The following is a 13995-nucleotide window of genomic DNA, read 5'->3' as shown; positions in this document are numbered from 1 at the left end:
GGTGGAGGTTGCAGTGGGCCAAGCTTGCGCCATTACCATTGCACTCTAGCCTGGGCAAGACTCTGTCTCAAAAAAGAAGAAAGGGTTATCATAATTTGCATACTACCAAAGCAAATATATAAAAGTATCTTGCTCAAAGTAACAGAATATTTGAAGCCATACATCAGGATAACACTCACCAGAAACTAGGACCATCAATTATTTTTTTTTTGTACAGGCAGGGTCTCATTATGTTGCCCAGGCTGGTCTTGAACTCCTAGGCTTAAGTGATCCTCCTACCTTGGCCTCCCAAAGTGCTGGTATTACAGGTGAGAGTCACTGTGCCTGGCCAATTCTTCATCCTCAATCTTAAACACATACAATATACTTTTTTTTTTTTTTTTGAGACAGAGTCTTGCTCTGTCGCCAGGCTGAAGTGCAGTGGCATCATCTCTGCTCACTGCAACCTCTGCCTCCCGGGTTCAAGCAATTCTGCCTCAGCCTCCCAAGTAGCTGGGACTACAGGGGCATGCCACCATGCCCAGCTAATTTTTGTATTTTTAGTAGAGACGGGGTTTCACCATGTTGGCCAGGATGGTCTCAATCTTTTGACCTTGTGATCCACCTGCCTTGGCCTCCCAAAGTGCTGGGATTACAGGTGTGAGCCACCATGCCACGCCACATTTTTTTAAAACTCGAGAGATAGGTAAAAGTGGCCTCTACACTTCAAAAATGTCGGCACCATTAAAGATTGACAAACTGTTCCAGATAAAAGACTTTAAAGAGAAATGACAATTAAACGCAATGCATGACCCTTGATTGGGAATAAAAAGGTTGTTTTGGGCTAGGCTTGGTGGCTCATACTTGTAATCCCAGCACTTTTGGGGCCCAAGGCAGGCAGATCCCTTCAGTCCATGAGTTTGAGACCAGCCTGGGTGACACTGCAAAAACTCATCTCTACAAAAAATACAAAAAGTAGCCAGCCATGGTGGTGAGCACCTGTGGTCGCAGCTACTTGGGAGGCTGAGGTAAAAGGATCATCCAAGCCTGGGAGGCGGAGGTTACAGTGAGCTGAGATTGCACCACTGCACTCCAGCCTGGGCAACACAGTGAGATCCTATCTCAAAAAAAAAAAAAAAGCTGCTTTGGACAATATTTACCAATTAGCAAAATGTGACTACGGACTTTATGTTAGATAATAGCACTGTATCAGTGTTAAATTCTCCGAATTTCTTTTTTTTTTTTTTTTTTTTTTGAGACATAGTCTTGCTGTTGCCCAGGCTGCAGTGCAGTGGCACAATCTCAGCTCACTGCAACCTCCCCATCCCTGGTTCAAGCGATTCTCATGCCTCAGCCTCCTGAGTAGCTGGGATTACAGGCGCATGCCACCATGCCCAGCTAATTTTTGTATTTTTAGTAGAGGTGAGGTTTCACCATATTGGCCAAGCTGGTCTTGAACTCCTGACCTCAAGTGATCCACCTGCCTTGGCCTCCCAAAGTGCTAGGATTATAGGCATGAGCCACTGCGCCTGGACTCTTTTCTGTCTTTAAAAAAATTTTTTGGTCAGGCGCAGTGGCTCATGCCTGTAATCCTAACACTTGGGAGGCCAAGGCGGGCAGATCATTTAAGAACAGCAGTTCAAAACCAGCCTGCCCAACATGGTGAAACCCTGTCTCCACTAAAACTACAAAAATTAGTCAGGCGTGTTGGCGGGTGCCTGTAATCCCGGCTACTGAGGAGGCTGAGGCATGAGAACTGACTGAACTCAGAAGGCGAGATTGCAGTAAGCCGAGATTGCACCACTGCACTCCAGCCTGGGGGATAGTGTGAGGCTCCGTCTCAAAAAAAAAAAAAAAATTTAAATTTTATTGTCCCTGCATCGTACTCTGAATTTCATCATTGCATAAGGGTTATATAAAAGGATGTCTCTGTGCTTAGTTGAGATATAGGCTTAAGGTAAGAGCTCATCATCTCTGCAATTTACTCCCAAATATTCCAGAAAAAAAAGAATAAGAATAAATGTGTATATTACCATCTTACACAGTAAATATGGACATAAATTGATATATCTATAGCGATAAATATGGTAAAATATTAACAGTGAGTGACGTTCAATGGTTTATAGGAGTTTGTTGTGAAAAAACTCTTACATTGAGAAAAGTCTTACAACTTTTTCTCGATGTTGCTTACTTTTTTTTGTTTTTCTCCGTCTTTTTAAAATAAAATTATATGCGTTGAGGGTTAACTTTCTTTTTTTTTTTTTTTTTTTGAGATGGAGTCTTGCTGTTGCCCAGGCTGGAGGCTGGAGTGCAGTGGCACAATCACAGCTAACTGCAACCTCTGCCTCCCAGGTTCGAGCAATTTTCCTGCCTCAGCCTCCCGAGTAGCTGGGATTACAGGCATGAGCCACCATGCCTGGCTAATTTTTTTATTTTTTTTTTATTTTTAGTAGGGATGGAGTTTCACCATGTTGGCCAGACTGGTCTTGAACTCCTGACCTCAAGTGATCCACCTGCCTCAGCCTCCCAAACTGTTGGGATTACAGGCATGAGCCACCACGCCCAGCTGAGGGTTAACTTTCAATAGATCGCAGCGAGGAAGTTGCTCTGCTATGTCTGAAATCCCACCCCAGAAGCAGGTCATCTAAGAATGGTTCAGTGTCGGGTTCTCCATAAAAATGCATTGTGTAATGGGCAAGGGGGCGGCTGCCTTTCCAGCAGCACCACCTGATATCGTTTCAAAAGCTTAATTTAGGCCGGGCATGGTGGCTTACGCCTGTAATCCCAGCATTTTGGGAGGCTGAAGGTGGATCACCTGAGGTCAAGAGTTTGAGACCAGTTGGGTGCGATGGCTCACACCTGTAATCCCAACACTTTGGGAGGCCGAGGCGGGCGGATCACCTGAGGTCGGGAGCTCGTGACCAGCCTGACCAACATGGAGAAACCCCATCTACTAAAAATACAAAATTAGCCAGGTGTGGTGGCACATGCCTGTAATCCCAGCTACTTAAGAGACTGAGGCGGGAGAATTGCTCGAACCCGTGAGGTGGATGTTGCAGTGAGCCGAGATTGTGCTGTTGCGTTCCAGCCTGGGCAACAAGAGTGAAATGCCATCTCAAAGAAAAAAAAAAAAAAAGAGTTCAAGACCAGCCTGATCAACATGGTGAAACCCTGTCTCTACTAAAAATGCAAAAACAAATTAGCTGGGCATGGCGGCGGGCACCTGTAATCCCAGCTACTAGGGAGGCTGAGGCAGGAGAATTGCTTGAACCCAGGGGGCGGAGGCTGCAGTGAGCTGAGATCGTGCCATTGCACCACAGGTTGGGCAACAAGACTGAATCTCCATCTCAAAAAGCAAAACAAAACAAAACAAAAAACGCCTATTTGACCAGGTGCGGTCGCTCATGCCTGTAATCCCAGCACTTTGAGAGGCTGAGGTGGGCGGATGGCTTGAGCTCAGGAGTACGAGACCAGCCTGGGCAATATGGCGAGACCCTGTCTCTATTAAAAATAATAATAAATGAAAAAATTTTTTAAAATAAAAGCTTAATTTACAAAATATGTAAGGTTATAAAAGTAATGAAATTTAAGATTTGCCAGGCACGGTGGCTCACGCCTGTAATGCTAGCACTTTGGGAGGCTGAGGAGGGTGGATTACCTAAGGTAAGGAGTTTGAAACCAGCCCGGCCAACATGGCAAAACACCGTCTCTATTAAAAATACAAAAATTAGCCAGTGTGGCGGCAGGAGCCTGTAATCCCAGCTACTCAGGAGGCTGAGGCAGGAGAATTGCTTGAACCTGGGAGGCGGAGGTTGCAGTAAGCCGAGATTGCGCCATTGCACTCCAGCCTGGGCAACAATGGCGAAACTCCGTCTCAAAAAAAGAAAAAAAAAAAAGTCGGGTGCAGTGGCTCACATCTGTAATCCCAGCACCAGCACTTTGGGAGGTTGAGGCAGGCGGATCACCTAAGGTCAGGAGTTCAAAACCAGCCTGGCCAACATGGTGAAACCCCGTCTCTACAAAACTATAAAAATTAGCCAGGCATGATGGCGGGTGCTTGCAATCCCAGCTACTAGGGAGGCTGAGGTGGGAGAATCGCTTGAACCCAGGATGCGGAAGTTGCAGTGCACCAAGATTTCACCATTGCGCTCCAGCAGGGCGACAGACTGAGACTGTCTCAAAAAAACAAAAAAAAGAAATTTACGATTTATGGGGAAATACCCAATTAGCCAAGTTAGCTAATCCCTTTTAGAGATTACTTCTTTAGGCTGAGTGCAGTGGCTGACGCCTATAATCCCAGCACTTTGAGAGGCTGAAATGGGTGGATCACGAGGTCAGGAGTTCGAGACCAGCCTGGCCAATATGGTGAAACACTGTCTCTATTAAAAATATAAAAATTAGCCGGGTGTGGTGGCGCGTGCCTGTATACTCGGGAGGCTGAGGCAGAAGAACTGCTTGAACCCAGGAGGCAGACGTTGCAGTGAGCTGAGATCGTGCCACTGCTCTCCAGTCTGGGTGACAGAGCAAGTCTCCACCACAAAAAAAAAAAAGGATAACTTCTTTGGCTGGGTTCGGTGGTTTACACCTGCAATCCCAGCACTTTGGGAGGCCAAGGGGGGTGGATCCTTTGAGCCCAGGAGTTCGAGACCAGCCTGGGCAACATAGTGAAACCCCATTTCTCAAAAAAATTTTAAAAAGCCAGGCACAATGGCTCATGCCTATGGTCTCAGCTACTCAAGGGGGTTGAGGTGGGAGGATCACTTGAGCCCAGGAGGTCAAGGCTGTAGTGACCCATAATTGTACCACTGCACTCCAGCCTGGGTGACAAGGTGAGACCTTATCTCAAAAAAAAAAAAAAAAAATCATTTCTTTGCACTATAAGCAATAGTGCTATAAAGTGAACTGCTGCCAAAAAAAAAAAAAAAAAGTTACAGTACTTCCTGCTGTGAATAGCCAATACCAGCTGTAAGCCAGGTTTTCGTAAAGTATCTTACCTTAATCCATACTGTCTCATTGGTAAAGCTGAATGGTATGGATGGATTGTCCGGTATATGCTTGTTTAGAATACTGAAATTAATGGACTCTTTGGCAATTCGGGGTGGAGTCCCAGTCTTCAACCTTCCCACCACAAACCCTAACTTCTCCAGTGTCTGAGCCAATCCTATAGAAGGCTGATCCCCTAAACGTCCTGCTGGATGCGTCTCCAATCCAATTACAATCATGCCTCTCAGAAATGTCCCAGTAGTCAGAATCACACTCTCTGCATATACTGTGCTTCCATCCACTAAATAACAAGAAAAAAGAATAAAGTCATTATCTATGTATCTATGTATTTATGTATCTATGTATCTATCTATCTATCTATCTATCTGAGATGAAGTCTCACTCTATCGCCAGGCTGGAGGGCAGTGGTGCAATGTCCGCTCACTGCAACCTCCGCCTCCCGGGTTCAAGCAATTCTCCTGCCTCAGCCTCCCGAGTAGCTGAGATTACAGGCATGCGCCACCACGCTCAGCTAGTTTTATATTTTTAGTAGAGATGGGGTTTCTCCATGTTGGTCAGGCTGGTCTCGAATTCCCGACCTCAGGTGATCCACCCACCTCTGCCTCCCAAAGCGCTGGGATTACTTACAGGCGTGAGCCACCGCGCCCGGCCTAAAGTCATTTTTTAAATTGTTACCATGGATCAAAATGGAATGTGACTATTTTACATTACAACTACAGAAAAACTATCAGTCTTTAAAAACTTGAGAATCTTTTTTAATATTTTTGTTTTTTCAAGACTTATCGACATATAACAGACATATAAAAAACTGTATATATTTAGAGTATGCAACATGGTGTTTTGATACAAGTATACCTTCTGTGATGATACCCATAATCAAGCTAATTAATATAACCATCACCTCACATAGTTACACGTTTTGTGTGGTGAGAACACTTATGATCTACTCCCTTAGCAAATTTCAAGTATATCATACATTATTATTAACTGCAGTTACCATACTGCTCACTAGATTGCTAGAACTTATTCAACTTACAGCTGAAAATGTATAACCTTTGAGCAGTATCTTCCCATTTCCCCTACCCCAGACAAAGAATTTTAAATGAGTAAGAAGGCTAATATGTTATCAATCTCAATCTAAGCAATCTAGGAGAGAGAATACAATGTGTTATCACCAATTCACATGTACCTAAAATCATATCAGCACTAAAAAGTTAGTCTCAATTAATTTAAAAAATTAATTAATTTTAGACTTCAGGATAAATATGGCATACAACCTCTCATTTCTTCTCCCTTCTAAAACTCAAAGAAAATTAAATAGGGGAATAAAAAAGGTATAAAACCAAAAGGACAAGTAATGAAAAAGAACCAGTCAGAAGATGAGAAATTTCAATGTATTTTTGAAAGATAGAAAGTGTTTGGAAGAATGGTAACTCATCTAGCAGAGGGGAGATAGCTATAACTTAAGTATTAATATCTGAAGAGAAGATATATCAATGAGAATGAACTAATTTGCCCTGCAAAGGCTCAGAAATTAGAGAACTGAGAATAAGAACTGAGGAGGAATGTAGAAATGAAACTTGGAACAGAAAATGAAAGAAACAGCTGAAATTTACACATTAAGGTTTTGTCCTCAGATAGCTCTACCTTACAGTAAAATGGAGGTTTATTCTTCAGGTAATGGGGACTTTTTGTTTAATGGGTACAGAATTTTAATTTGGGATGATGAAAAAGTTCAAGAGACCGTTGGTGGTGATGGGTGCACAACACTGTCAATGTACTTAATAGCACTGAATTGTACACTTAAAAATGGTTAAAATGGTACATTTTATGGTTTGTATATTTTACCACAAAAAAATTGTTATTGTTGGGCCTATAAAATATGGACAGGATCACAAAATAGCATTTAAAGATATTAAATTAAATCGGCCAGGCTCAGTGGCTCATGACTATAATATGAACACTTTGAGAGACTGGGGCAGGAAGATCACTGGAGCCCTGGGGTTCAAGACCAGTCCTGGCAACATAGTGAGACCCCCATCTCTACAAAAAAAAATAATAAATTAGCCAGGGGTGGTGACACATGCCTGTGGTCCCAGCTACACAGGAGGCTGAGGCAGGAAGATCACTTGGGTCCAGGTGGTCGAGGCTACAGCGAGCTGTGATCATGCCACTGCACTCCAGCCTAAGAAAGAGGGAGAGAACTTGTCTCAAAAATAAAAAAATAAACAATTTAAGGGTATAAACATAAATACTAATAAAAACAATATAACCATTAAATCTGGAAAATAAAGAAAGTCGGGGGAGAAAAGGAAATGAAAGTAAAACTAATTTAGTAATTGTTACTTGAGGGAAGTCAGTGAGCATATTATATTATATATAAAATCATAGCTTTTAAGGTAACCATCGGAACAAACCCACAAACTTAAAAAAAAAAAGCATGGCCTCCAAAAGCAAAGCAAACACAGATTAAGTTTTTTTTTTAAAAAAAGGTACAGAGGAACAGTGTGTATAATATGCTACGATTTTGTGAAAACAACAAAAAATACATATACATATGCATGAAGACATGTACATATGCCTAGGTAGAAAGACCACACAACAGATTAACAAAGCAAATGCTCCTGAGAAAGAAAACTGGCTGGTTGAGGGGACAAAGTGAAGGAGACAGACTATCTTTTTTTTTTCTATTGAGACAGACTCTTGCTCTCTCACCCAGGCTGGAGTGCAGTAGCAAGATCTCAGCTCACTGCAACCTCCATCTCCCAGGTTCAAGTGATTCTCCTGCCTTAGCCTCCTGAGTAGCTGGGACTACAGGCGTGAGCCATCATGCCTGGCTAATTTTTGTATTTTTAGTAGAGACGAGTTTCGCCATGTTGGCCAGACTGGTCTCAAACTCCCGACCTCAGGTGATCCACCTGCCTCGGCCTTCCAAAGTGCTGGGATTATAGGTGTGAGCCATAATCACATAATGCCCATAATGCCCAGCTAAGACAGACTATCTTTTCACTCTATATGCTTTTTGTAGCCTTTAAGTTGTTGGCCCTAAGTATGTATTTCCCAATCAAGAAAATTAATAAATCTATAATAAAAATGAAAATGGGAATTAAGATATGTATTTTAAAAGATGACACTCCTGGGCCACGCGCGGTGGCTCATGCCTGTAATCCCAGCACTTTGGGAGGCCGAGGTGGGCGGACCACAAGGTCAGGAGATCGAGAACATCCTGGCTAACACAGTGAAACCCCATCTCTACTAAAAATACAAAAAAGTAGCCGGGCATGGTGGCACGTGCCTGTAGTCCCAGCTACTCGAGAGGCTGAGGCAGGAGAATCGCTTGAACCTGGGGGGCAGAGGTTGCAGTAAGCCGAGATCACGCCATTGCACTCCAGCCTGGGCTACACAGTGAGACTCTGTCTCAAAAATAAATAAAAAGAAAAAATAAAAATAAATAAATAAATAAAATAAAATAAAAGATGACACTCCCTGGCACAGCCTCTCTTACCATTTTGTTCCCAGAACGCTAGTGGGTAGCCATATTACTCTCTTAGGTGGAAAACTGATTCTTCTGAGAACTAACAGACATTGATATTTGAGAATTCACCAAACCAAAAGGCTGGTTCAAATCTTTTCTTTTTTTTTGAGACGGAGTTTTGCTCGTTACCAGGCTGGAGTGCAGTGGCACTATCACGGCTTACCACAACCCGCACCTCCAGGGTTCAAGTGGTTCTCCTGCCTCAGCCTCCCGAGTGGCTAGGATTACAGGCATGTGCCACCACACCTGGGTAATTTTGTATTTTTAGTAGAGACGGGGTTTCTCCATGTTGGTCAGGCTGGTCTTCAACTCCCAACCTCAGGTGATCCACCCACCTCGGCCTCCTAAAGTGCTGGGATTACAGGCGTGAGCCACCGTGTCCAGCAGTTCAAGTCTTAATCACCACCAGAATCAGCCAGGCAATAAAATTAACTGTGTACACACAAATCTTCCAGTTAAGTGTTTTAGCGCCTTATTTATTTATTTAGAGATGGAGTCTCACTCTTGTCGCCCAGGCTGGAGTGCAGTGGCACGATCTCGGCTCACTGCAACCTCCGCCTCCTGGGTTCAAGCGATTCTCTTGCCTCAGCCTCCTGAGTAGCTGGGATTACAGGTGCATGCCACCACGCCCAGCTAATTTTTTTATTTTTAGTAGAGACAGGTTCACCATGTTGGCCAGGCTAGTCTCAAACTCCTGACCTCAGTGATCCGCCCGCCTCAGCCTCCCAAAGTGCTGGGATTACAGGCGTGAGCCACCATGCCCGACCTAGTGCCTCATTTAAAAATGTAACAGGCTGGGCATGGCAGCTCATGCCTGTAATCCCAACACTTTGGGTGGTTGAGGTGGGAGGATCACTTGAGCCTAGGAGTTCAAGACCAGTCTAGGCAACACAGGGAAGCAACATAGGGAGATCCCACGTCTCCAAAAAAATTGAAAATAAGCTGGGTGTGGTAGTGTACACCTATAGTCCCAGCTACTTGGGAGGTTGAGGTGGAAGGATCACCTCTGGGAGGTGGAGGCTACAGTGAGCGATTATAGTGCCACTGCACTCCATCCTGGGTGACAGAGTAAGACCCTGTCTCCAAAACCAAAAACGCAAAGAAGTCAACAGAAAACCAAAGTTCGCTAGATACTTAAAGGAAGTTGTGTACATGAAAGAGAGCAGCCCAAACACATAAACAGAACTAAAAAATCTGGAGAAGGCCAGGTGTGGTGGCTCACCCCTATAATACCAGCACTTTGGGAGGTGGAGGTAGGCGGATCACTTGAGGTCAGGAGTTCAAGACCAGCCTGGCCAACATGGTAAAACCCTGTCTCCACTAAAAACACAAAAATTAGCTGGGCGTGGTTGCTGCTGTCTGTAATCCCAGCTACTCGTGAGGCTGAGGCAGGAGAATTGCTTGAACCTGGGAGATGGAGGTTGCAGTGAGCCAAGATCGTACCACTGCACTCTAGCCTGGGTGACAGAGTGAGACTCTGTCTCAAAATAAATAAATAAAATAAAGCAATTATTAACTCAAGGCAAAACCAAGCATAAGAAAGGGACAAACATAATACACTTCCATGCAGTAAACAATACTTAGTCAATAATGTAAATACTATCAACCAAAAATTACGGTATAATTATATCAGAAGGAGAGAGGGAAGGAAAATTGGACATTAAAGAGAATTACCATAATAATAAGTTAATAGGCTGGGCACAGTGCTCATGCCTGTAATCCCAGCATTTTCAGACGCTGAGGTGGGCGGATCGCTTGAGGTCAGGAGTTCAAGACCAGCCTGACCAACATGGTGAAACCCTGTCTCTACTAAAAATACAAAAAATTAGCCGGGCATGGTGGCAGTCGCCTGTAACCCCAGCTACTTGGGAGGCTGAGGCAGGAGAATTGCTTGAACCTGGGAGGGGAACGTTGCAGTGAGCCAAGATGGTACCACTGCACTCCAGCCTAGGCAACAGAGCCAGACTCTGTCTCAAAAAATGTTAATAGATGGCTGGGTGCGGTGGCTCACAGCTGTAATCCCAGCACTCTGGGAGGGCGAGGCGGGTGGATCACAAGGTCAGGAGAACAAGACCATCCTGGCCAACGTGGTGAAACCCCATCTCTACTAAAAATACAAAAATTAGCTGGGCATGGTGGTACGTGCCTGTAGTCCCAGCTACTCAGGAGGCTGAGGCAGGAGAATCGCTTGAACCCGGGAGGCTCAGGTTGTGGTGAGCCGATATCGCACCACTGCATTCCAGCCTGGCACAGAGTGAGACTCCGTCTCAAAAACAAAAACAAAAACAAACAAACAAAAAAAGTTAATAGATAATGTCTAGAACTGTAAATTAGGAAGTAAAAAGATAAGCCTGCTATTCAGAAATATGGAAGTATATACAATAAGTGACAACTAAAAAAGCTGAAGTGTCTGTCTCCAGGGAAGGAGATGGTTGTTTTCCCACATAAATTTCTAAATTTCTTTTATATTTATTTATTTATTTATTTATTTATTTTGAGACAGAGTTTCGCTCTTGTTGCCCAGGCTGGAGAGCAATGGTGTGATCTCGGCTCACCACAACCTCCGCCTCCTGGGTTCAAGTGATTCTCTGGCCTCAGCCTCCTGAGTAGCTGGGATTTCAAGCATGCGCCACCACACCTGGCTAATTTTGTATTTTTAGTAGAGATGTGTTTCTCCATGTTGTTCAGGCTGGTCTTGAACTCCCAACCTCAGGTGATCTGCCTGCCTTGGCCTCCCAAAGTGTTGGGATTACAGGTGTGAGCCACTACACCCAAACTTATTTTTTATTTTTTTTTGACACAGGGTCTCACTCTGTTGCCCAGGCTGGAGTGCAGTGGCATAATCACAGCTCACTGAAGTCTCAACCTCCTGGGCTCAAGCAATCCTCCCACTTCAGCTTATTGAGTAGCTGAAACTACAGGCACCTGCTACCACACCGGCTAATTTTTGTATTTTTTTGTAGACATGAGGTTTTGCCATCTTGCCGAGGCTGGTCTCAAACTCTGGGGCTCAAGCAATCCACCTACCTCGGCCTCCCAAAGTGCTAGGATTACGGGCATGAGCCACCATGCCCAGACCCTTTTAATATTTTAAGAAAAAATTATATGCATGAGTTATTTTGATAAAAAACATACATAACTCTTTTACATAAAAATATATATAAGCTGTTAAAATATGAATTTTTTAAAAAATTAAAGTCAGAACCAGAAAAAACAGAAATTACAATAGAAAGATGGGGAGAGAGGGAGACATAAATATGCAGATTACAAAGTTCTACACTAAGATGGAACATGGTACTGATGAGCCTAGAATTTGACTGAGCATCATAAATGCCAAGATGAAAAGAGAAACATATTTATTTATATAGTTTTCCTCATCCAGGTAGAGAAAATGCAACAAGTTCCTTGAATAAGCAACATATCTCCACACTTTGCTCTAAAATAAATTTCTCACATGGAATTTGATATGCTGTTATCATACACCATCTATAACCAATACGTACCCAAAACAACCCCACTGACACGGCATTTCCCAGTGTGTTCAGGCTCTGGTTCTGTAAGAATAAGATCTTCTACAGCTCCCTCCTGAACAGTAAGCAGTGGTGTATTCAAGATTTCTTTCTGTCAAAAGAAAATGCCAGTTGAAACATGGTAATTAAACAATCACTATAATCTTTCCTGTGCTCATGCCCTATTCTTACCTGCATGTTCTGTTTATAGAGTTTCCTATCAATCTGAGCTCTCAGACCCCACACAGCTGGTCCCTTACGCCGGTTTAATACTTTATAATGTACACCAGACTGGTCACAGATGCGAGAACACAGGCCATCCAAGGCATCTACTTCCCTCATTAAATGTCCCTTTCCGATGCCACCAAAGGAAGGATTACATGACATCTGACCTAAAGATAATAGACATAAACAAAATAAATATATGAGCACCTTGCACATAGTGACTACTTAATAAGGAAACATTTATACAGGTGACTATAATCATCTCATATGATAAAAAATAGAAAACGTGAAAGATATACTACAAAGAAAATCCCAAAGACCCAATGGGATGCAAAAGTGTCCAGGGCAACCTGGATGACAAACCACTTCCTGAACTTCCTTTTGTTTTTTTTAAGATGGAGTCTCACTCTGTCACCCAGGCTGGAGTGCAGTGGTACAATCTCGGCTCACTGCAACCTCTGCCTCCTGGGTTCAAGCGATTCTCCTGCCTCAGCATCCCGAGTAGCCGGGATTACAGGTGTCCGGCACCACGCCTGGCTAATTTTTGTATTTTTGGTAGACGGGTTTCACCATGTCGACCAGGCTGGTCTCAAACTCCTGACCTCAGGTGATCTGCCCACCTCGGCCTCCCAGAGTGCTGGGATTACAGCCGTGAGCCACCGCGCCCGGCCTGAACTTTCTTTTGAATCTCTTCCTTGATGCATATTTTTACTGTTTCACTAGGTTGCCTTTTCCTTTCAAACATGTAATCCTTACCCCATGAAACCTTTCTAAACCAAGTATACTTGGTTTTTAAATTTGTTCTTTTTTGATACAGCACCAGAGGAATCTACCAAATCAAGCACACTTGTAAGAAGTCCCTAGTCCTTCAACATAAATAAGGACAAAAATAAATAAATAAATAAAAAACAGGGCCGGGTGTGGTGGCTCACGCCTGTAATCCTAGCACTTTGGGAGGCCAAAGAGGGTGGATTGCTGGAGCTCAGAAGTTTGAGACCACCCTGGGCGACACGGTGAAACCCCGTCTCTACTAAAATACAAAAAAATAGCCAGGCATGGCAGTTTGCACCTGTAATCCCAGCTACTTGGGAGGCTGAGGCAAAAGAATCGCTTGACCCTGGGAGGCTGAGGTTGCAGTGAGCCGAGATGGCACCATCGCACTCCACCCTGGGTGACAACAGTGACTCCATCTCAAAAAAAAAAAGAAAAGAAAAAAGAAAAAACAAAGAAGCCCCTTGGCACTGGTTCAGTTACAACCAATTATGTCTTCCATAAATGCCATCTGATATCTCCTTTTTGCACTTACTTTGCAGAATTAAATATAATTAAATTACAAATTTCTTGTGAGTGAAGACCATATTTTATACCTTTCCCTTACATTTACCCAGTCTTACCTGGAGGTCTAAACCCATGTGGTTACCTCAAAAGTTTTTGTGGGAGGTGGAGGGATGGGCAAGTTATGTCAATATCCACATATCCACTGCCACCACATCAAGAATCAAGACCTCCAAAAGTTTTTTTTTTTTTTTTTTTTTTTTTTGAGACAGAGTTTCGCTCTTGTTGCCCAGGCTGGAGTGCAATGGCACGATCTCAGCTCACTGCAACCTCCACCTCCCGAGTTCAAGTGATTCTCCTGCCTCAGCCTCCCAAGTAGCTGGGATTACAGGCATACGCCACCACGCCTGGCTAATTTTCTTTCTTTTTTTTTTTTTTTTTAGTATTTATTGATCATTCTTGGGTGTT

The 13995-nt window shown here is 43.6% G+C and overlaps 1 protein-coding gene across 6 annotated transcripts in view, besides 1 other annotated feature; it reads right to left on the bottom strand.

The window, feature by feature from the left end:
* MTO1 (mitochondrial tRNA translation optimization 1) overlaps window positions 1-13995 on the bottom strand; it is a 47500-nt gene that overhangs the window by 30609 nt on the left and 2896 nt on the right. For all 6 annotated transcript variants that reach the window (NM_133645.3, NM_001123226.2, NM_012123.4 and 3 more), the window contains exons 2-4: window positions 12220-12419; window positions 12022-12139; window positions 4974-5263 (exon numbers count right to left, since the gene is read on the bottom strand). In NM_133645.3, the coding sequence (NP_598400.1) occupies window positions 4974-5263; window positions 12022-12139; window positions 12220-12419 (608 nt within the window). The remainder of the gene's footprint in view (window positions 1-4973; window positions 5264-12021; window positions 12140-12219; window positions 12420-13995) is intronic.
* Window positions 6397-6466: an enhancer, noted in NCBI's record as "active region_24747". NCBI's record gives its function as "activates an Ori minimal core promoter by ATAC-STARR-seq in GM12878 lymphoblastoid cells {active_cell/tissue: GM12878}" and the evidence as "EXISTENCE:reporter gene assay evidence [ECO:0000049][PMID:35858748]".

This window comes from Homo sapiens, chromosome 6, assembly GCF_000001405.40.
Source record: "Homo sapiens chromosome 6, GRCh38.p14 Primary Assembly".
NCBI classification, from domain to species: domain Eukaryota; kingdom Metazoa; phylum Chordata; class Mammalia; order Primates; family Hominidae; genus Homo; species Homo sapiens.
This window is presented reverse-complemented; position numbering and strand designations above follow the sequence as displayed.